The following is a 22,291-nucleotide window of genomic DNA, read 5'->3' as shown; positions in this document are numbered from 1 at the left end:
ATAAGCCCCAGTGCACTGAATTTTGTCTCCTCCAGCAACATATACGTTATCGATGGTTCCTATCCCACAGGGGTGAGCGCAGCACAGCTCCCCGCAAGCATTGGCCCTTCCCATGCAGTTGCCACGCACACTGCCTAATGGCAGGCAGAACAGCATACTGGCATGGGGGTTGTGGTTGCAAGTTCTGGCTGGTAAAGGCCCCTGTGAGGAGGTAATTATTTACCTCATTACCTTAACTATTCCCCCGTGGAAATCAATCCATTTTCTCCTATGAATAGCTGCTCAGGAACAGCCAGTCATAAGACGCTGAGTTCTAAGCAGTACTTTCACCTGGAAAACACTGGGTAGAGCTACTGTTTCCTTTGGAAGCAGGAGAAGCTCATGTATGTGAGAGGTGGTGTGGGGTTTCCCTTTACCAGACACACAGGAAACTTTCCTCTTATGGCAGCCAATCTGAAGGCGCTGCGAGGCCCTTTATTTGGAGAAGGAGACTAGGGTGACTCAGATCTTTGTTTGCTGCAGGGAGGGGAAGGTTATTCCATAAAATCCATTCTGGGCTATAGCCCTCACTCGGGTAAGGTGGCTAATGCATTACAGGGTTTTAAAGCGATGAGCGGTCATTTAAGAGGAAGAGTGGTAAATGCTTCCTTTCCACACTGGCCAATCTTCCCCATGGCAGCAGAAAGCAAAACTCTGAAACCTGGCCAGCAACTCTTGCTCTCTCCTTGGTCCTTCCCCAGATAAACTTTCCTTTTTGACTAAACTTAATAGTTTCCTTGCAAGAAAGAATGGCTGTTTGAGAACTTACATTCATACCTCTAAGCTCCTTAACTCTCTACTAATACAATTTTCTAAAACTAGCCAAGAATGGTTTAGAAATGAATAAGCCAACAGAGAAAAGAAGATCATTAATTAATTATCTATTGAGCATCCTTACACTTACGGCCTCCGTCAAAATTTTACCAGACATTTCTTATAGGATAAGCCATATAAGCAAGTTCTTTTTTTTTCTTCAATTTTTAAGTTCCAGGGTACGTGTGCAGGATGTGCAGGTTTGTTACATAGGTAAACGTGTGTCATGGTGGTTTGCTGCACCTGTCAACCTATCACCTAGGTATTAAGCCCTGCATGCATCAGCTATTCTTCCTGATGCTCTCCCTCCCATTGCCCCCCTAACAGGCCCCAGTGTGTGTTGTTCCCCTCCATGTGTCCATTCAACTCCTACTTATACGTGAGAACATGTGGTGTTTGGTTTTCTGTTCAGCTGAGGATAATGGCTTCCAGCTCCATTCATGTCCCTGCAAAGGACATGATCTCATTCCTTTCTATGTATGCATGGTATTCCATGGTGTATATGTACCACATTTTCTTTATCCAGTCTATCACTGATGGGCATTTGGGTTGATTCCATGTCTTTGCTGTTGTGAATAGAGCTGCAACGAGCAGACTCATGCATGTATCTTTATAATAGAATGATTTACATTCCTTTGGGTATATACCCAGTAATGGGATTGCTGGGTCAAATGGTATTTCTGCCTCTAGATCCTTGAGGAATTGCCACACTGTCTTCCACAATGGTTGAACTAATTTACACTCCCACTAACAGTGTAAAAGTGTTCCTTTCTCTCTGCAACCAGGCCAGTATCTGTTGTTGTTGACTTTTTAATAATTGCCATTCTGACTGGCATGAGATAGTATCTCATTGTGGTTTTGATTTGCATTTCTCTAATGATCAGTCATGTTGAGCTTTTTTTTTTTTTTTTTTTTTTTTTTGAGACGGAGTCTCGCTCTGTCGCCCAGGCTCTGGAGTGCAGTGGTGAGATCTCAGCTCACTGCAAGCTCTGCCTCCCAGGTTCACGCCATTCTCCTGCCTCAGCCTCCCGAGTAGCTGGGACTACAGGCGCCCATCACCACGCCCGGCTAATTTTTCTTGCATTTTTAGTAGAGATGGGGTTTCACCATGTTAGCCAGGATGGTCTCGATCTCCTGACCTCGTGATCCGCCTGCCTCAGCCTCCCAAAGTGCTGGGATTACGGGCGTGAGCCACCACACCCGGCCGCTGTTGAGCTTTTTTTCATATGTTTGTTGGCTGTATGAGGTCTTCTTTTCAGAAGTGTCTGTTCTTGTCCTTTGCCCACTTTTTAATGGGGATTTTTCTTGTAAATTTGTTTAAGTTCCTTATGGGCTGGATATTAGACCTTTGTCAGATGGATAGATTGCAAAAATGTTCTCTCATTCTGTGGGTTGTCTGTTCAGTGTTTCTTTTCATGCAGGTTCTTTTTTTATCCTTAATATTTTTACTGAGTCACACAAAATACCCGGCAGTACCCCTGAATTTACGGTTTTACTTAAATTGTCAGTTTATACATTTATTTTCTCATCTAGACTACAAGAGGAATTATGTCTTTTATTACAAAATATTTGCTGAGTTCGATTTTATCCTGGGACAGCTAGAAAACAATGACTTGATTTTTCATTGATCTGATTTTTCTTCTTCTTTTTTCTTTTTTTGGTGAGACAGAGTCTCACTCTGTCGCCCAGGCTGGAGCGCAGTGGTGCAATCTGGGCTCACTGCAACCTCCATCTCCCAGGTTCAAGCAATTCTCCTGCCTCAGCCTCCTCAGTAGCTGGGATTACAGGCACGCACCACCATGCCTGGCTAATTTTTGTATTTTTAGTAGAGTTGGGGTTTTGCCATGTTGGCCAGGCTGTTCTTGAACTCCTGACCTCAGGTGATCCACCCAGCCTCCCAAAGTGCTGGATTACAGGTGTAAGCCACCGCACCTGGCCAGATGTATATCCTTTTCAGACCTTGTGTGTACTACCTTTGTCATAAAAAAAGTTATTAAAAATGTAAGTAGACACGAAACACCTCCACTGTGTCTGCATTTTCAGGGTCTACCCTCACAGTTCCCTTCTGCTATCCAGCTATGAAGGGGGTAATTCGGAAAATCCTTTTATTACATTTCAAATAAAAATGCTAAAAATGGGCTGGGCATGGTGGCTCATGCCTGTAATCCCAGTACTTTGGGAGGCCAAGGCGGGCAGATCACCTGAGGACAGGAGTTCGAGACCAGCCTGGCCAACATGGCAAAACCCCATCTCTACTAAAAGTACAGAACTTAGCTGGGTGTGGTGGCAGGCGCCTGTACTCCCAGCTACTCAGGAGTCTGAGGCAGGAGAATCGCTTGAACCCGGGGGGCGGAGGTTGCAATGAGCTGAGATCGTGTCACTGCACTCCAGCCTGGGTGACAAGAGTGATACTCCATCTCAAAAAAAAAAAAAAAAAAAAAAAAAGCTAAAAATGACTCAAGTGTGCGTGTATATGTATGTATATAAAATTCCTTATTAAAAAGAGATACTTGAAGTAGATTTATTCTACAAGGTTTATGCATCTGCCCTCCCATATGGCCCCCATGTCATCTGTGGATCTCAGTTCCTGTTTGGAACACCTGATCCAACCATTCTTATCTAGAGTTGGGCAACTATCTCAGAAAGGCAATATTTTTTTGAAACTGCAAACCAAAGTTTCCATTCAGACTCCCCAAGGGATTTTACTGACAATTTTAAGCACTGAAGATTTCTGGGAGGGAAGGAGAGCTGAAGTCTCTTTGAGATGCACAATACCTGTCCCCAGTTGAGAGGAGAAATGCAAGTATCAATACATGCAGCAATGAAGCATCAATCAGAAAACAACAAATGGGTGTTACAGTAAATGCACATGAGGCAGTCTCAATAAAAAGGGAACTGTGTCTCTGATAAGTTTTTCTGTGTGTGTGTGTGCACTTATTTATGGGCCCCAAGAAAGAGGTCTTAGGGAGGGAAGAGGGACAAGCGTTTTTGCTGACATAAATAAAACGGTCCACAAAGAAGCCCGGAGGATGTCTATGGCCTGACTGAGTGCCAGCATGGCATTGCCAGTGTGGGTGACCAGCTCCAGCGTGGCACTGCTCTTCCTACAAATGCAAATATACCATCTAGCTCCTGTCTATATCTTTTGCAAAATCATTCATTTCCTGCCTGTTTTCTGGTTACAGTAACAATCACAAGCTTTAAAAATAGCTTGCCCTATATAATACAGCAGTCAGTGCCCAATCTGTGTTTTAGGCCTGATGCCCTCACAGACAAGCCTTTAGTCAACTGCATTTTAATTCTTTTGAGGGAATTACATCTTTAAAATAAATGAATGATGCTGCCTTAATTTATGTCTAACTTTCTGAGTGGGACTGTAGTAGCAACCACAGACAGAGAAGAAAGACTGTCCCTAGGCAGTGGACTCATCCTTAGGGGCCCAGACACTAAATCCTTTCGGTCAACACTGGCTTGTGGCAGCCTCGCACTGAGCTGCCTGTTGTGGGCTACGCTTGGCTGAACTCATGGTCGGCCTTCTTGAATCTGCCCTGCCTTTAGTTCTCCATTTCTGAAAATGGCTCTCACCCTCCATCTAGGCTCAAAATCTTGTTACTGGTTTGGACTTCTCCCTAGACCTTAATAGTCTATCAATTTTATCTGCACCATCTCTATCTGCCACTATTCTAGTTCAGGCCTCATCACCTCCCTCCTGGACACGTGCTCTAACCTGTCTTCCTGGTCACCAGTTTCTCCCCTGCACCGGGGCACACACAGTGATATGCAGGCTAACTTTCTGATGTGCAACATGGATCCCAGAGCTTCCTTGCTCAAATATCTTCAGCAGTTTCCTACTCCCCTAACAACTGTTCCTTCAGTTGTTTCAACTGATACCAAACCCTATCCCCATATTGAAAGCACTCGCTTAGGGAAAACATCTAAATTTCTTGGCTTGCCATTTAATGCTAACCTCCTCCATCTTTATTTCACACAGCTTCCCTGCATGTGCCCTTTTCCTCAGACCATCTGAACCCTTCTCTATGGAGATGGACTTAGGCTTCCCTAGTACTTGCTTTTTCAGTCTTGTCTCCACTGTAGACATCACTCCTCACCCCCGGTTTCCAGCCACCTGTCCTGGGTCTACCCGTCTTTCAATCCTCAGTTCTGACAGTTAAACCGGACTTTCCTGATCAAACAGCTAAAAGCAACTTCCCCTGCCTCGTTCTGATTTATACTTCCTTAAAGGACTGATCATATTTTATTTATTTTTTTTTTGAGATGCAGTCTTGCACTGTCGCCTGGGCTGGCATGCAATGGCACGATCTCGGCTCACTGCAACCTCCACTTCCTGGGTTCAAGCAATTCTCTTGCCTCAGCCTCCCGAGTAGCTGGGATTACAGGCGCCCGCAACCTCCCCAAGCTAATTTTTGTATTTTTAGTAGAGACGGAGTTTCGCCATGTTGGCCACGCTGGTCTTGAACTCCTGACGTCATGATCTGTCCGCCTTGGCCTCCCAAAGTGCTGCGATTACAGGCGTAAGCCACCATGCCCGGCCCATATTTTATCTTTTATCAATTTATTCAGCACCTGGCGCTGTCTTTCAGTATGTATAATGTTTCTTCTGCTAGGCTATAGTGGACTCTGGAGAGGCAGAGTTCATGTCTCACTCATCTTTTTATTATCTAAAGAGGCTAAAAAGACAGGAAACCATTATTTATTATCTATAATCTGTCCCAAACCTCACACACATTATCTCAATTAATCCTCATAATAGTCTCATAAAGTTGGTGTTCTCCTTTTATATAAGAGAAAACTGAGGTTCAAAGAGTTTTGTTACGTGGCCCAAGTTCACACTAAGAGGAGGTCTATTTTGAACACGCTCCAAGACCTGTGTTTTCTATGACACTCTACTACCCATTATTATGATCTTCTATACATCGCTTATGCTAAGTATATATAATACACATTGGAAGTTAAAGAGACATCTATGAATGAGAGAAGCTGTCATCTTCTGTATCCTAAATGCCAACTTCATTCCACATACTAACTTTTATTTTTATTAATTTATTAATTTTTTGAGATGGAGTCTCACTCTGTCACCCAGGCTGGAGTGTGGTGCTGTGATCTCGGCTCACTGCCACCTCGGCCCCCTGGGCTCAAGACATTCTCGTGCCTCAGCCTCCTGAGTAGCTCAGATTACAGGTGTGTACCACCACGCCTGGCTAATTTTTTGTATTTTAGTAGAGATGGAGTTTCACCATGTTGCCCAAGGTGGTCTGGAACTCCTGAGCTCAGGCAATCTGCCCGCCTCGGCCTCCCAAAGTGCTGGGATTACAGGCTTGAGCCACTGTGCCTGGCCCAGCACATTAACTTTTAAACATTTCCAAATTGGACAAAAACACATGTATAACTGATCACAAAAGACGGCCCATCATTTTGTACCTGAGGTACCTATGCAGAAGAGCAGCAATAGTAATCAAATAAAGCCCAATTTGGCATGAAAGTTAATTTTTTTGTTTTCAGCATTAATTTGTTAGGGAAAAAACAAACAAACAAACAAACCAAACACTTGTGAGAGATCTGGAAACTTGAAGAGAGAAGGAATTAGTGAGCGAGAAAGACAGGGAGGACTTTTCAGAAGTCCACGAGGTCTGACAAATTACGTAATGGTCATACTGGTCATAATGATAAACACTGACAAGAGTTGAGCCTGGACACTGTTCTAAGGTTTTTCTCCACAAAAGCATCACTCCTGAGTGACTTAACGAAATGATAAAGTTCAATAAAGCCAAAGTACAACACTTGTGGACCAAACTGAAATCTCTCGCCAAACTGCCAGTTCTGAGACTCTCAAACATAGCCGTACCTTTGGAGTGTCCACACACTCTTCTTCCATGAATGCAGCTTCCGCCTGACAGCCAGATGCTGGAAATGAAAAGGCCTCCACGTTGGATGCCTGGGGGAGGAGGGCAGATCGCAGCAGCCTCATGTTCGGTGAATGCATGGTCACTGGGAGCCCCACAGTCTGTGCCTGTAAATATGGCAAGAACAGACAGTTTGGGAACATGAATACCTTCTCTATAAATACACAAAGTTCTAAGAATAAAATAATTCTTCCTGTGGCAATTAAAGAATGAATATTTATTTATTGGAAACTCCAGAAAGATTTAGTGAAATATATACATGGTGCAGACAGTGATCTGAAGCAGACTCAGCAATCGGTTACTCTGAAAGAGGTCGTACAGAATTTCATTTCTGCCTCATGAGGGGATGCTTGACTTTCACGCAGGTGACGAGAAAGCTAGCTTTTGTGAGGAATCAAGAATGTTCCTCGTTCAATTCAACAAACATATTTGTCTCTTTCTTTAAATATAATACCCAGACAGATAAAGAATAGAAAAATCTTAGGAGCTCAAAATTAAACCAGGGACAGATATATACACACCCACAAGTAACTACAACACAAGGGACGCTGGAGTCAGTGCTGTGTCTCTGCCTGCCCTACCCGCCTTTTTGGTGTAGGTGAGATGGTAAATATTTATTGGTAAGGGTGTATGCGAAGAGGAAGAAAGAGAAGCAGCAGTCACATGGGGTGACAGGAACATCTTCCTTCCTTCAAGGAGATGCACAGCCTGGACTCAGCCTGCTGGCCCAGTGGAAGGAGAGAAGCTTACTGCAAGCTACGCTTACTGCAAGCTATGTTTTTGAAGTCAACCCACTATAGAAAGCTCCTGATGGTTTGAAGTCTGTTCTCACGTCTCGTTTGTTAACTACTCTAGGGAAACAAGCATTACAAATGCTTCTTTTAAAAAATCATTTAAGGCCAGGCGCGGTGGCTCATGCCTGTAATCCCAGCACTTTGGGAGGCCGAGGCAGGCGGATCATGAGATCAGGAGATCGAGACCATCCTGGCTAACATGGTGAAACCCCGTCTCTACTAAAAATACAAAAAAAAATTAGCTGGGTGTGGTGGCGGGTGCCTGTAGTCCCAGCTACTTGGGAGGCTGAGGCAGGAGAATGGTGTGAACCCGGGAGGCGGAGCTTGCAGTGAGCCAAGATCCCGCCACTGCACTCCAGCCTGGGCAACAGAGCAAGACTCCGTCTCAAAAAAAAAAAAAAATCATTTAAAAGAGAATTTTTCCTTATGACAATTGGCAAAAATTGATTTTAAAGATGAAGCTGCTGAATGATCCTTTCATCACCATCCCTTCAAAACTACCAGAATAATTTATTAGATGTGTTTTGAATACAACAGGCACTGCACCACATCTGAGAAAACAATCATCATACTAGACTATGAAAGGCAGAAGGACAGCCTGTATTTTTCCGGCTATAGTTATTTCAAGGGATACAGGATGGTGAATTTTAAACTCAAACAAATCAAAGGGACAAAATGGTATGAGATTCTAGCTTCTCCTCTACCAAGACCTGAGTTTGATTCCTGGCTCCATCACGTACAAATTGTGTGACCTTAATCAGGTTTCCTAACCTCTCTGAAACTTATCTTCTTCAACTGTGAGAGCACAATGCCAACTTCACAGTGAAGTCAGGACTGTAAAAGGTAACATGCAATGTCCTTAACTCAGTAACATTAATTCCTCCTTTCCCCTTCTTCCTAAAGCCTTCAAATGATCACAAGAATGTAAGAATTAGTTTGCAAAATGAATGCAGTCTCGTTCTCAAATACTAACGGTTCCTAGTTAGAATCTTGGATTGATGATTTTCAAGGATGGGGGGATATGTTAGAAATATATTTTATATTTGAATATACTCTGAATATATTTTCAACATACTTTATATTTGGTATATTCCAATATTAATATCACTGGCTATACTGTATAAGATAAAGTAGCATTAGCAAAGTGTCAGAATGGTATGGATGCCCCAAAACAAATAAACAAACAAGTAAACAACTGCATACCATTCAGAGTGTGATAAAGAAATAGCTTTCCTTGTGTTGTCATTCCTCAAGCTTATATTCTGTGCCACTTCTGATGTTAAACAACTTTTTCTTTTCAAATATCAGGCTTTTAAATTATCTAGCTACTATGTAAAATTTTTATCTAGTCAATATGTAAAATTTACACTTCCCACTAAAGTATATTTGCTACATTCTTCTTACCCCCATCAATAGCTTTTCAATCAAAGGATAAAACTGAAGAATTGATTTCTACTTCCCAACTTTATTAGACTGCTCCTTCTCTATGAAGGTAGTCTGAATTATTAGGGCAACGCATGACTGGGGGTGCTATATGGAAATGAGATGCCCATGCCCTAACTACGACACACTGCTCCGTCCCTGACTCTCACTAGCTCGGACGCTTTAAATGGCCAGACGGTGCTGTGCCAGACCAAGCGTAGCACATAGTCCTTGACAGTGTTCACATCCGACCTGGACTACTACAACTGACTGTGAACTCGGTTAGAGGAATAACAGACAGGATCAAGGAATAACGCTTTTTGTTGTGACAATCACTTCCTAGGAAATATGGTGGGTTTTAGGAGTCTTGTGATCACTGAGGGGACCAAAGGAGTCTTTTTGGAACAAGAGAGGGTATAAATATACAGACAGCATGCTCAGCATTACACAGTTGATTAGCAAATATTAAATAAATAGATGGTCAATATCCCAAGGAAGCAGATATTATCAAGATATTCTTTAAGAGTGTCAATACGCAATGATTATGTCCAACAAATTGTGATCACTCTTTAGACCACATGTTTAGTGCTTTGAATCTCTTCTTTGGACTTTGTGCTCTCCAGAACCATTAAAATGAAAATAACGTTCTTTCCTATGGGAAAATCGTTGCTATTCCAATAGGCAAATACTTGTTATGACCTGAATTGTGTCCTGCCAAAATTCACAAGTTGAGCCCCTCACCACTAATGTGGCTATATCTGGAGACAGGGCCTTGAAGAAGGTAATTAAGGTTAAATGAGGTCCTGAGGTTGGGGCCCTGATCCCACACAGCGGGTATCCTTATAAGAGGAGGGAGAGACACCAGAGATCTTTCTCTCCACACTTGCGCAGAGAAAAAAGCCAGTGAAAAGACAGCCAGCTACAAGCCAAGAAGATAGGCCTCACCAGGTAGCAACCCTCATGGCACCCTCATCCTGATTTCCGGCCTCCCGAACTGTGAGAAAATAATTTCCGTTGTTTAAGCCACTAGGTCTGTGGTATTTCGTTACGGCAGCCCTAGCAAACAGGCACAACCTGTTGTGAAGGGCAACCTCTAAACAGTAATTAAAGAATTGGAGGTGATTGTTTCATTCTTGTTTGTTTCCAGCTGATGGAAACTTGCAGTGGAAGGACTGTTAAAAACAAGTGGTTAGGCCAGGTGTGGTGGCTCACTAATTGTGTGACCTTCATCAGGTCCTGCAATCCCGACACTTTGGGAGGTCACGGTAGGAGGATTACTTGAGCCCAGGAGTTTGAGACCAGCCTAGGCAACATTGCAAGACCCTATCTCCACAAAAAAATAAAAAAATAATTAGCTGGGCGTGGTGGCATGCACTTGTGGTCCCAGCTACTTGGGAAGCTGAGATGGGAGAATCGCCTGAGCCCAGGAGGTTGAGGCTAAAGTGAGCTGTGATTGCCACTGTCCTCTGGCCTTGGTGACACAGCGAGACCCCATCTCAAAAACAAAACCTCCCCCAAAACCCCACCAAAATTAGTGGTTAGAATGTATGAGAAAAAAATATGACGTATTTTTTCTAAATAGTCTCAACTCAATTAGATCTAATACTTCCTGCATGTTATACAGCAAACATAAGCACTCCAAATCTAAGAGGGGAATCCCACTGTTGTCTAAATAATAATAATGAGTACTTTATTTATTTTTTTTTATGTTTTACTTTTTGGGACAGAACCTCACTGTGTCGCCCAGACTGGAATGCAGTGGTGTCATCTCGGCTCACTGCAACCTCTGTCTCCTGGGTTCAAGCGATTTTCCTGCCTCAGCCTCCCGCATAGCTGGGATTATAAGCACGCACTACCATAACCGGCTAATTTTTTTGTTTTTAGTAGAGATGGCATTTCACCATGTTGCCCAGGCTGGTCTCAAACTCCTGGGTTCAAGCAAACCACCTGCCTTGGCCTCCCAAAGCGCCGGGATTACAGGCATGAGCAACTGTGCCCTGTCATAATGGGTATTTTGTAACTAGGCTATGAACTTCTTAAGGGGAGCAACTGTTTCCAGGGTACTTCTGAAGCCACAGTGGCTAGGACTGTGCCTGGCATGTCAGTGCTCTATTTGTTTAACTAAACTCCCGGTACAGGTTAACTAACTGTATCTTGGTAGCAATCTAATGAAGTACGTATTGCTGTTCCCACTCTGTATTTAAGGGCACAGGAACTCAGAGACGCTGACTTGCCCGAAGTCACTCAGCTTGGTGTGTGGAACCCAAGGTCTGCATGATTCCACAGCTCACGTTATCTTTGTATTGACTGGATCATGTTGTTTCCTCAATTTTTTTGCTACTATATCAAGAAACAAGTGATTTGCCACTTCTTTTAAAAAAATTAGAACATCAAGGAATTAAAGTGAGAAGCCTTTACTAAAACTTTAGGCACATTTATATCCATAAAAACAGAAGTCTATTTTTTAACAAATTCAACACTAAAACTCAAAATGTGAAATCTCTGAGAGGAGGGGGCCTGTTGCTCAGCATCCAGAAGGCTCTCAGGCAAGCATGTGAATGAGCATTGAAGACTCCATTTGAAGTAGAAGCATTTTCAGTTACACTAAGCAGGTTCCATTGAGACTTGGGTCAATGCATAAAGTAAAAAGGACACAGAGTGCTTGGTAATTTAAAAAATTATCGAACATAAGAAGTCACGTTTATGTATCTGAACCCTAAGCCAAATTAAATATAATTTGAGATATGCCGGGGAATTTGCTCATAGTCTAGACATGAAAGGATATCGTGTACAATAACACATGCACGTGCTCAGGAACAACTGTTTATATAACCCCTCACCACTCCCTCACTTGCGTAATGTTTAAGAAGAATAAAGAGACTTGGCAGGGAAAGCCTGCTGGCCCTGGGGGCTTTCCAGCTTCCTATCCTTTTGTCTAGTGGCATTTGCAAGAAGGAAAGAGTTCCACTACGTCTTACATGTTTTTCATTTTATCTCCTTCTTTCTCGGTCTTGAAAGCAATACCATTCAACTTCGAAGATTTCCAAGTGCTCAAAGATACCCTAACTCAAGTGTCTGGAACTATATGGACACATTATTTTACTTACATCTGTATCAATACTTTTTTTTTTTTTTTTTTTTTGAGACGGAGTCCTGCTCTGTCACCCAGGCTGGAGTGCAGTGGCGGGATCTCGGCTCACTTCAACCTCTGCCTCCCAGGTTCAAGCGATTCTCCTGCCTCAGCCTCCCAAGTAGCTGGGACTACAAGTGCTCACTGCCACACTCGGCTAATTTTTGTATTTTTAGTAGAGACGGGGTTTCACCATGTTGGCCAGGATGATCTTGATCTACTGACCTTGTGATCCACCCACCTCAGCCTCCCAAAGTGCTGGGATTACAGGTGTGAGCCACCACGCCCAGCCAATACTCTTATTTTATATATAAAGTACGTATAACAAAATATACCATTTATCTACTAAAATCAAGAAGATTTAATTCCCTTTTTTAAAACATACTCTGTAGATGCCAATGCAAAATTTTATTATAATCCTGTAAATTTTGTAAAACTGCCAAAGAAATACAAAGTCAAAACTCTCCTGCCCTTATTTTTGTTTTGAACAAAGTCAGTTACAGAAGTAGACAGGAAAGTCAATGGAGCATACTAACCAACCATTCATCTCAACCTCTGGATGATTCCCAAATTTCTAGCCTCAGCCTCTCTCCTTGGATCAAGATCCACATCTTCCTCCTGAGCAACTGAGTTAATGCCACCCCTATCTTCTCAGGCTCTGGCTCAAGAACAGAGTCATCTCTAAGTCATATTGTCCCTTCCTCCCCAGCAATTATTTATTACTTTATATAACAAGTACTTACATAGCACTTACTATGTGCCAGGCATATAGTATTTCACAAATATTAACTATTTCACAGATATTAACTAATTTAATTGTCATAGCATTCTATTATTATCCCCATTACACACTTGGGAAACCAAGGCACAAAAAGACCTTAAGAAACTTAAAATGTCACATAGCAGGAAGTGGCAGAATTGGGATTTGCTCCAGAGTCCCTGCTTCTAACCACCACACTGAGCTGCCTCTCCGAACCATTGCTAACTTCATACAGAGTCTACCTCTAAGATGGTTCTTATACTTGCCCCTTCTTTTCTACTTCCAACAGTGCCATATGAGTTTAAGCCTTCGGTATTTCTCATCTCTACTGTAACACTCTCCTAACTGCTCTCTCCAAATTTCTTCTTTTCTCTATCTGACCCATCCTTCATAATGCTACCAGATTAATTAGCTTAAAGCATCGATAGAATTTTATCATTTTTCAGCTTAGCAGCCTTCAGTAGGTCCTTGTTGCTTCTTGAATTGTAAGTAAACTCTTTACCTTGGCATTCAAAACTCTTCACAATAATGCTTCAACTCACCACTGACCAAGTCCTCCCCATCTGTGAAGATGTGTCTTACATGCCATTCCCCCTGTTCAGATGTGCCCCTCTCTCCCCTGTCCCTGCTCTGCTACAGCTCTCATCTTTCCCTATTTTGAATGATGGTTGTTTATGATCTTGTCTTATTTCATTTTTATAGCGCGATGTCTCTGAGGGCAGTGACTGTAGTTTATATATCTTACCCCCAACAGTGCCTAAGAATAGAAGCTCGCACGTGGTAAATCTGTAATAAAAATTTGTTAAATGGAATTGAATGTAAAGGCTAGTGATAGTAATTCTCAACATTGTGAATGATGAAAACAATTTTAAAAAACTGTTTGAAATAAAGTTAACCCTTAAAAATGAGGAAGTGCTAAAACATTTGAGAATCTAGTGAATGGCAGGCAGAAATTTTACAGAAAAACGGAGTGTAGAGGATGAAATCCTAACCCTGTGTATAAGATGAAAAATGTATCAAACATGTGAACAGGCACATGCACAGATAAGACTCTCAGCTAAGGGGGCATTACCTTGGCAACTGTTTGCTCAGCAATGGTGCTAGGCCGACGCTGGCGGCCATCAAGTCTCTGCTCCACTGGGAAACTGCTCCGATGTGATTTCAGGCGCTCCACCAACAAGAAATAAATGGCAGCAAAGTGGTTATAGCTCTTGTTCTGCAAAGACTGAAATAAAAAACAAGTGGTAAAGGCAAAGAACTGTAAAGACCAATGCAATGATCTACACATGCCTAAAAAAAAAGAGGAAAGAAATTGTGTGCTCTTAAAAATAGGGTGAAAAACAAAGTGTCTCAAGATGAAAGCTGCTCCAAAAATGTGACTGGAAGGCAGAAAACTTCAAGTCTCTAGTATTAATTATATAAAGGATGATCCCTTTAAATGGGTTTACCAGCCCTTTAACATTAACAAGATCCATTTATTTTTCTCCAGTCAGAGAAAATGCCATCATTGTCTCATGTAGACATTCCCCAATGCTGCCATATGGCCCCATCTCATAGCTGTAACGGTGGTGTAAGGTCAGTTAGCAACCTGAGCCCGAGGCTCTAATTCCATGGCTTCAACACAAATCTGAACCACTGAAAACTCTGAAGTGAATGGTTAAAGTATGTGGAGAACTTTCTGTTGATTATTTTGGGCTGGAGAATGGCATCTGGATGCTAAATTGAGAGACACTATGTCTCCGTTCTTAGGTAATTTTTTCCTCTTGTTTTTGCAGTCCCACCCTCTTAAAACCTTGAAAATAAAGTTGCTTCCCAAATGTTCACATCTCTAGCCTGCCAGCTTTCCCAGATATTGAGGGAACAGAGAAACAACTGCTCCTTTGGGTTCTAATTCCACCTGACAGTCGGCATGGGTGCTGTGCAGGGCACCAGGATGCAGAGCACTCTCAGCAAAAATCACAGGTCAGTGGAATCACACGCCCAGCTACTGCTCAGGATGCACTTCATGGACAAGTACAGAAAAACATCACTGGGCGCAAAGTGAGCAAAGCAGGAGAATCAGTTTGGTTTCACTTATGGCTACGTGGCGGGGGAAAGGCAGCACAGCCCGGAGCCTTGGTCTTTCACAGCAAACAAGGCGGCATTTGATATTCTTTCTTGTTATGTTTCTTCCTGAAGAGCACTGTTTGCTTTTTTACTATCGTAAAGGTATTAGAAATACGTATATCCTATAAGTATGCTAACTATTCGAGGACAGAAATAAAAGCCAAGAGGAATTTTCCAGGTTCATGACCCTTCACAGTTCTATGACCCCTAATACTTCCAAATCAGGAGCCCACCTGTTTTTGCCTTCTTAGTTTCTCCAGTTCACAATCTAAATCCCCTGGCTTTCTTAAACCTGATACCTACCCTTCTTGTTTCCTGCTTGGCCCTTTGCCTATCTGCACATTTACATTCCATACAAACTAGTTAAATACCTATGTAAAACTTCATGCTTCATCTTGGAAGAAACTTTCTACCTTGTATTTGTTAAGCTTCCATCTTTGCCTTTTCTGAGTCTTTTATAAATGCCTCCTCTTGAATGTTTTGGCAGATGGGGGCAAAGAAAGGAATTTAAGATGCTGAATAAAAGCAAATATAAATAGAGTCTGATGTCATCTATAGGGAACACTGAACAGTACGCCTAGGCGCTGGAGATACATGTGCTAAAAGACCAGGATGACAGGTGTGAGCATGAAATTTCAAGTAGCTAAGTGCAGTAGAACCCCGAAATCTCTGATCACTTTACCTCAATGGTTTTCTGCTGATCTATTCCAAGGCTGTGCATCAGTCGCAGAACCTGCTCATTAAACTCCCCGATGGATGGCTCATTTTCTTGCTCTTGTGGATAGAGAACAGGTCTCTGGACAGGAACTTCTATGAGCATCCATTTATGCTCCTTGATTTGGGCTATGGTTAGCCGTTTGGATGGGTCTAGGACCAACATCCTTCGGATAAGGTGCTCGCAATCTATAGAAAACACAATGTTACAAAAGTCACAAGAATCACCTTGCACTTCAGGGTTATTTGCTTGACTCATGTGACTTTGTACAAGGGTGTTAATCTTTGTATCCTCTACTGGAAAGCAGAAGGTCAAATGAATAAATGAACACATGCAGGCTACTTATATTTCTCAAGTTCACATGGTGAACAAATACCTAAGAAAAACAGGAGGGTGTAGGTCTATCAGATTCTGGGCTAAAGGAAACTTTCTACTGAATTTCACAACTGAAAATATCTAGAAACAGACTTTGGTTTCCACTAAAGGAAAGAAATAAGCCTCATTCCTAGAACAAGCAAATAATAAATCGATCCTCAGTCATATCTAATGCTGATATACTAAGGCTACGTAAGCGAGGCAAAGAGCTCTCCAACGGGCTGCTGCTCTCCTCCACATCACTGTAGCTGAGAAAAGTGTACATAAAATATTACTTACTTCTGACTACACCAAGAAAACCGCACTGCTGCAACTTTGAGCACTAGCATATTCTCTGAGCTGACATGATGCTCTTCACTCACACATAAGGTAACCTCCTGTCACTATATGGCAGGCGCTGTGCTAAGTGCTTTACACAGATTATGCCTATTTATTATATTATTATTGGAGACAGGGTCTCAGTCTCTTGCCCAGGATGGAGTGCAGTAATGCAATCACAGCTCACTGTAAGCAATCCTTCTGCCTCAGCTTCCTGAGTAGCTAGGACTACAGGTGCATGCCACCACACCCGGCTAATTGAAAAAAAACTTTTTTGTAGAGACAGGGTCTTGCAATATTGTGCAGGCTGGTCTCCAACTCCTGGCCTTAAGAGATCCTCCCGCCTCAGCCTCCCAGACCACTGGACTTACAGGTATAAACCACTGCACCTGACTGACAGATTAATTTAATTAAACCTTACAACACCCGTGCGGTAGGTGCTATTGTTATTTCCATTTTATAGATGGGGAAATTGAAGCAGATAGAGAGGAGACAAAACTTGTGAAAGTCATATGGCCAGTAACCAGTGGACTCAGGATTAAAACCAGGCAGTCTGGTAGTCTGCCTTCACAGTCCATGCTCTTAACTATGAAGAGTTATTATTTCTACTCTTAGTAGAAAGAACAGAGTTAAGAATGATAACCAAAATGAAACTAAGGGGTAAACTTAACTGCTATCTAGGTAACAGCTCAATACACGACAGGCAGGGATTATGGCATATCATCTGAATTTAGCAGAGTTTTGCCAGTTTGGCTTTTTATTTAATTAAAAAAATTTTAATTTTATAAAGTTCATTTCATATTGGAGTAAAATGGTTGTGAATCTGTATCTACAAAGGGCTTCGTTAAATCTAAAATAAACCTGGGACATTTATAGACCCAGAATGAATGAGAAGACATGCTGCTCTTAATCTGGGAAATGCTGTGTGTTTAGTTACAAGTAGAAGGCTGGAACCTGTCTCGCCTACATAAAGGAGGTTGCTTCTTTCTATAGCTTTTAACCTACAGCTCAGTCACTTTATTTGGCACCCAAACTCTTAGAAAAAAAGAAGCTTTTACCTAGGCATTTCACTTGGAGCACTAACACTGTAAAACACCATTAATAAGATGAAAAGTTGATTACCTTCTGACATGAAATACGGAATCCGGAATCTTCCTTCCAGAACCCTCTGCCTCAAAATTGGAAGAGTCGGTCCATCAAAGGGCAGAGCTCCACAGACAAGGACATAAAGAACAACTCCCATACTCTAGGGAAGAAAACAATGCAGAGACTTTTCTACCAAGAACGTCAAACACTCTTTGTTTTCCTGAACATCCCCAGGGCTCTTGAAATCATATGGACTGAAAAATTCCTGTCTGGATTTATTATTTTCTCAGAATTTGAAAAAAATCCAAAACCCTGACTACTACAATAAGTATCTTATAATAAATACCAAAGAATTTGAATCTGATAATTTTGATTACTACTTAACTTTAAATTACTGCTGATATTAGGATGACAACACCTATCCTTAGAAATTCTTTCCTAGGGATCCATTTCAAGATGCTCTGAGTAATTATAGTCCAGTGGATGGGGAAAATATGAAATACTGCTTATGTGTTAAGTACCAGGAGCTTCTAAGATGGGCCAGAACACCAAGTATTATCAGTATAGATGCATTTAACAACACAGCAAAGCAAAGCAGTACCCAGATGTCCAGCTGTGGTCCTTCATACTGCTGCCCTTCAAAGACTTCTGGGGCTGCATAAGGGGGGCTGCCACACCATGTTGCCAGCAGTTCACCACTTTTAAAGAAATTTCCAAAACCGAAATCTATTAGGATGGAAATAAATGTTATTTTCATCTATGCTCTCAAACTATACTGCATTTCTCTGTAATAAATTTTCTAATATGCTATATTAACAATATCACTACTATTTACTGTGAGGACTGGGATGGCATCTTATCTTGTGATGTTTCCCTGGCATTAGCACAATGACTAGCAAATAGTACTCAAGGAATGTTGCTGAATGAATGTGTAAATGAATCAAGTTTTCTTCCCAAAGCGAGTAAGTGAGAGACTGGAAAAATACTTTATATCATGTGAAAGAAAATCAGCCTTAAAGTGGACAACCCAACTAGTATTTGATAATCTTAGAATTTCAATTACCTGATGACTGCTAAAGAGCTCTTTATCTTAAATGGTCTATAAGGAAAGAAACAAATGAGTAAAGCTCTAAGACATTCACCTAAACACAACTGAGTGACTGGCTGCCATTACCCCAGATATATAACCCTTGAAGGCAACTGAGTGCAGTGTTTCCTAAGTAACAACCCTCTAAGTGTTGGTCCACATATCCTGTTTTAGGCAGATAACCATCTGAATAGCTCATTAACATATGATGGCCACATAGCCCAGCCACAAGCCACCTATCACCATCACTTATTTACTAATTTATGGATCGCAGTGGCATTATAGTTCAAAACAGTTAATGGCCTTCTCCTTATGATCTTAGCCATACTGACTCTACAGTTTTGATACAGAGAATGCACTCTGGAAACACTACTTAGATGCCTTCAACATGCATTAAAAAATTTAGTAAGTATTGTTACAAATGCAAGTTCATACCCTTTTGCTAAGCCTTTATAGTCTCATATTCTTACCGAAGAAACAAATACCTATTATCTTGTTAAGTTATACTCATGCTGTCTTATGTTGCTACATACTCCTGACTGAAGAGCCTGTCTCAGTGACAGGAACTGGCTCTCCACCCAGCTGGAGCACAGCATTGCATGCACAGTGAGCTTTAAGAGATGGCTCAAGAAAGACTGGATCAAGTCTCTACTGCCAGACAGATTGACTGGATTTGTGACTTTGGATCAGTCTTTGTGAGCCTTAGTTTCCCCATCTGTAAAGTGAAAATGATAAATACACTTAGTCAGCAGGTTGCTGTAAAGGCCCAATGTGTTAAAATAAGCTCACTCCATTCATACCTTGAGACCATACATACATGTGCACCTTAGGCAAAGCATTCTCTTAGCTTGCTAACATAAAAACTAGAGGCAAGCAGTAGTAACAGTAATAACAGTAACAATCCCCATTATTACAGCTTCATGGAAGAGTACAACCTATGAAGTTATGAGAACTACAGCTAATTACCAGTTTTATCACTTTCAAGCTTCAAGTCCTCTAGGAAAGTTATTTTTTCCATATCTATAAATGTAGTGATAATCCACCTACCCAGATAGGATGCTGTGAGGATTAAATGAGAATAAGAATGTAAAATGCCAGAGCATACTAGACGTGAAAGGTCAGCTCTCCTCCTCCTGTGAAACCATTACCACCAACTGTTGCCTTTCAGAGAAAAAGGTCCCAAAAAAGTAGATAGGAGGGGTAGAAAAAGTTTAGAGGGAGCTTCAAGGTTTAGGAGAGAAAAGAGGGTACATCTGGGGAAAGAGCTTCAGATACAGTCTAAACCTGGTGAACAACACTGTGGTCTGCCTTTGGTATCCAGGAGTGTGAGGCAAAGGTGGTGCCAGGGAGAAGTTCTCTCTTTACAATGTAACCTCAGCTCAGCTCCACAGTCCACTTTCCAAAATGACTGTCAGAAAGGCCTTATCTTCACAGTACCACCTCTATGACTAACCACTCCTAGAACATCATATCTCATATGGACACATACAGATATATATATTTCTAATTTTCTAGAAAAACTATACTCTCAAATGAGTCAAGGACTAGATGTTCCCATGAGTCGAAAACTAGATGTTCTCATGAGTCAAGGACTAGATGTTAAATGAGTCAAGGACTATGTTCAAATGTTAATTTCACTCACAGGATAAAGCAGCACAAGAAGCTCTCGGATGTGTGTTCAGAGATCCTGAAATACATACAATAATTGCTGCACTTTAAACCATAATCACAGGATGAGTTTTAGTGCCTGTAAATTGAGGATACTCTCCAAATAGCACTGGTAAGGTTGTTTTTCTTTCTTTCTTTTCTTTTTTGAGATAGGGTCTTGCTCTGTTGCCCAGGCTAGAGTGCAATGGCACGATCTCAGCTCACTGCAGTCCTCGCACCTCAACCTCCTGAGTAGCACAGGTGTGCTCCACCACACCAGGCTAATTTTTGTATTTTTAGTAGAGACAGGGATTTGCCATGTTTCCCAGGCTGGTCTCCAACTCCTGGGCTGACGCAATCCACCCGCTGTGGCCTCCCAAAGTGCTGGGATTACAGGTGTGAGCCACCACCTGGCCCATTGGTAAGTTTTAATGTCTCCAGGAGCCCTTATAGAGCCACTTCATTCTGAACTTCCCCACAGCTGGTGAAATAAACTCAAAGGAGTGAATGGGACAGAGGCCTGTCAAGAAGGTGGCCTGGCCTCTTTATTGCCTTAGGCTCTCATAGTACACTTCACAGGCAAGAGAACAAGAGCTGGGAACACTTCTCTGGACCCGTGGTAGCCCAGTTTCAACCTCTGCTTTACAAATCTAGCACAAAGAAAGCTTCCTGTTTGCTTACAGGAGGAGTGGTACTAAGCAGTTATTTCTATTTTCTGTAGGTAATATGAATATAGAAACTTGGGTCTATAGGGATATTAAAAGAAACACTGAAAGACAGGCTCACTAAGCTGTTACAATATTACATGTGCTGAGGTCTTCTATAACCTTGTCAAAGCACTTCAAATGTTATATTTATATATTCTTTTGAGACTGGTCTTGCTCTGTTGCCCAGGCTGGAGGGCAGTGGTGTGAATCACAGCTCATTGTAGCCTTCATCTCCCAGGCTCAAGTGATCTTTTTGCCTCAGCCTTCCAAGCAGCTGGGACCATAGACTCACGCCACCATGCCTGGCTAATTTTTTTTTCCTTTTTTCTTTTCCTTTTTTTGGGTAGAGACAAGGTCTCACTATGTTGTGTAGGCTGGTCTTAAACTCCTCGGCTCAAGTGACCCTCCTGCCTCAGCACCCAAAGTGCTGGGATTACAGGTGTGAGCCACTGCCCTCTGCCAAACACTGTATTTGTAATCATCTGAAGAATGGGTTAAGGAAGACTTTGGTGTTAGGCAGATTGGGGATCAAATCCTGGGTTTTCTATTAGCTATGCAATCTTGGACAAATTACTTAACTTCTTAGAGCCTTGGTTTCCTCATTTGAAAAATAGGGACAACACTTACATTTCATGAAGTAGTTGAATTAATAGAAATAGATATTATATTGCGATTGAAACATAGTAGGTAGTCAATAAACAGAAGCTATCATTGCTATTATTATTTATTATTTTACTTATCTGTCTATCCCATCAGACTAAGTTCCTCGGGAGCAGGGAATGGGGGACAACATTCTGTACTCCCAGCTCTCAGCATATCATCTGCAGACAACAGCTGCTCGATAAAGATCTGCTAGATGAATATGTTGTTCCCACCTCTTAAAAGTGCTTTACTATGTGACAGGAGCTGATTTAAACTCTCTGAAGATAATTTCTTCTTAGTTCTATGAAGTATCCTTATTTTAGGAGAAAGTGAGGGTATAAAGTTAAGTATTTTGCCAGAGGTTATACAGCTAGCTACTAAGTTGCAGCAGTGGAATAGAAACCAAGTTTAACTACTTCGAGCCTTCATTGTTAACCACCACCTTTATGTCTCTCACTGGCATGTCAAAAATAGTTATTTTTGAAGAAGTTAATAATTGTCAGGGTTAAAAAGTGGCAGCAAAAGACACTTAAAAATAAGAGCCTTTTAATTTCTTCACAGGAATCTGGATAACTTGCTTCACCCAGTCTGCAGCTTTCTGCCTAAATGCATATAGTGAAGTGGGAGGTGAGTAGGGGGGGAATGAAATGTGAAAATGCAGGATTTATTTCTTACTGCCATTTATTCAAATGAAATGGACTATACTCATGCTTCATCATACTAACCACA

The 22,291-nt window shown here is 41.8% G+C and overlaps 2 protein-coding genes across 10 annotated transcripts in view; one reads left to right on the top strand and one right to left on the bottom strand.

Annotated features, from left to right (window-relative positions):
• The window catches only part of SIK2 (salt inducible kinase 2), a 128,407-nt gene that overhangs the window by 11,765 nt on the left and 94,351 nt on the right, over nt 1–22,291 (bottom strand). For both annotated transcript variants that reach the window (NM_015191.3, XM_017017417.2), the window contains exons 5-9: nt 18,081–18,205; nt 17,516–17,639; nt 15,668–15,888; nt 13,952–14,104; nt 6,716–6,880 (exon numbers count right to left, since the gene is read on the bottom strand). In NM_015191.3, coding sequence (NP_056006.1) covers nt 6,716–6,880; nt 13,952–14,104; nt 15,668–15,888; nt 17,516–17,639; nt 18,081–18,205 — 788 coding nt within the window. The remainder of the gene's footprint in view (nt 1–6,715; nt 6,881–13,951; nt 14,105–15,667; nt 15,889–17,515; nt 17,640–18,080; nt 18,206–22,291) is intronic.
• Nucleotides 1–22,291, top strand: part of PPP2R1B (protein phosphatase 2 scaffold subunit Abeta) — a 78,390-nt gene that overhangs the window by 47,299 nt on the left and 8,800 nt on the right. For 4 of the 8 annotated variants that reach the window (XM_047427191.1, XM_047427190.1, XM_047427192.1 and 1 more), the window contains exons 16-17: nt 20,211–20,346; nt 22,124–22,189. In XM_047427191.1, coding sequence (XP_047283147.1) covers nt 20,211–20,285 — 75 coding nt within the window. In that variant the 3' untranslated portion in view covers nt 20,286–20,346; nt 22,124–22,189. The remainder of the gene's footprint in view (nt 1–20,210; nt 20,347–22,123; nt 22,190–22,291) is intronic. The other 4 variants (XM_024448600.2, XM_047427193.1, XM_047427194.1 and 1 more) reach the window with 1 other exon arrangement.

The sequence above is a fragment of the Homo sapiens genome, chromosome 11, assembly GCF_000001405.40.
Source record: "Homo sapiens chromosome 11, GRCh38.p14 Primary Assembly".
Lineage (NCBI taxonomy): Eukaryota > Metazoa > Chordata > Mammalia > Primates > Hominidae > Homo > Homo sapiens.
Note: the sequence above shows the minus strand (reverse complement) of the source record. Positions and strands in the feature narration are given on the sequence as shown.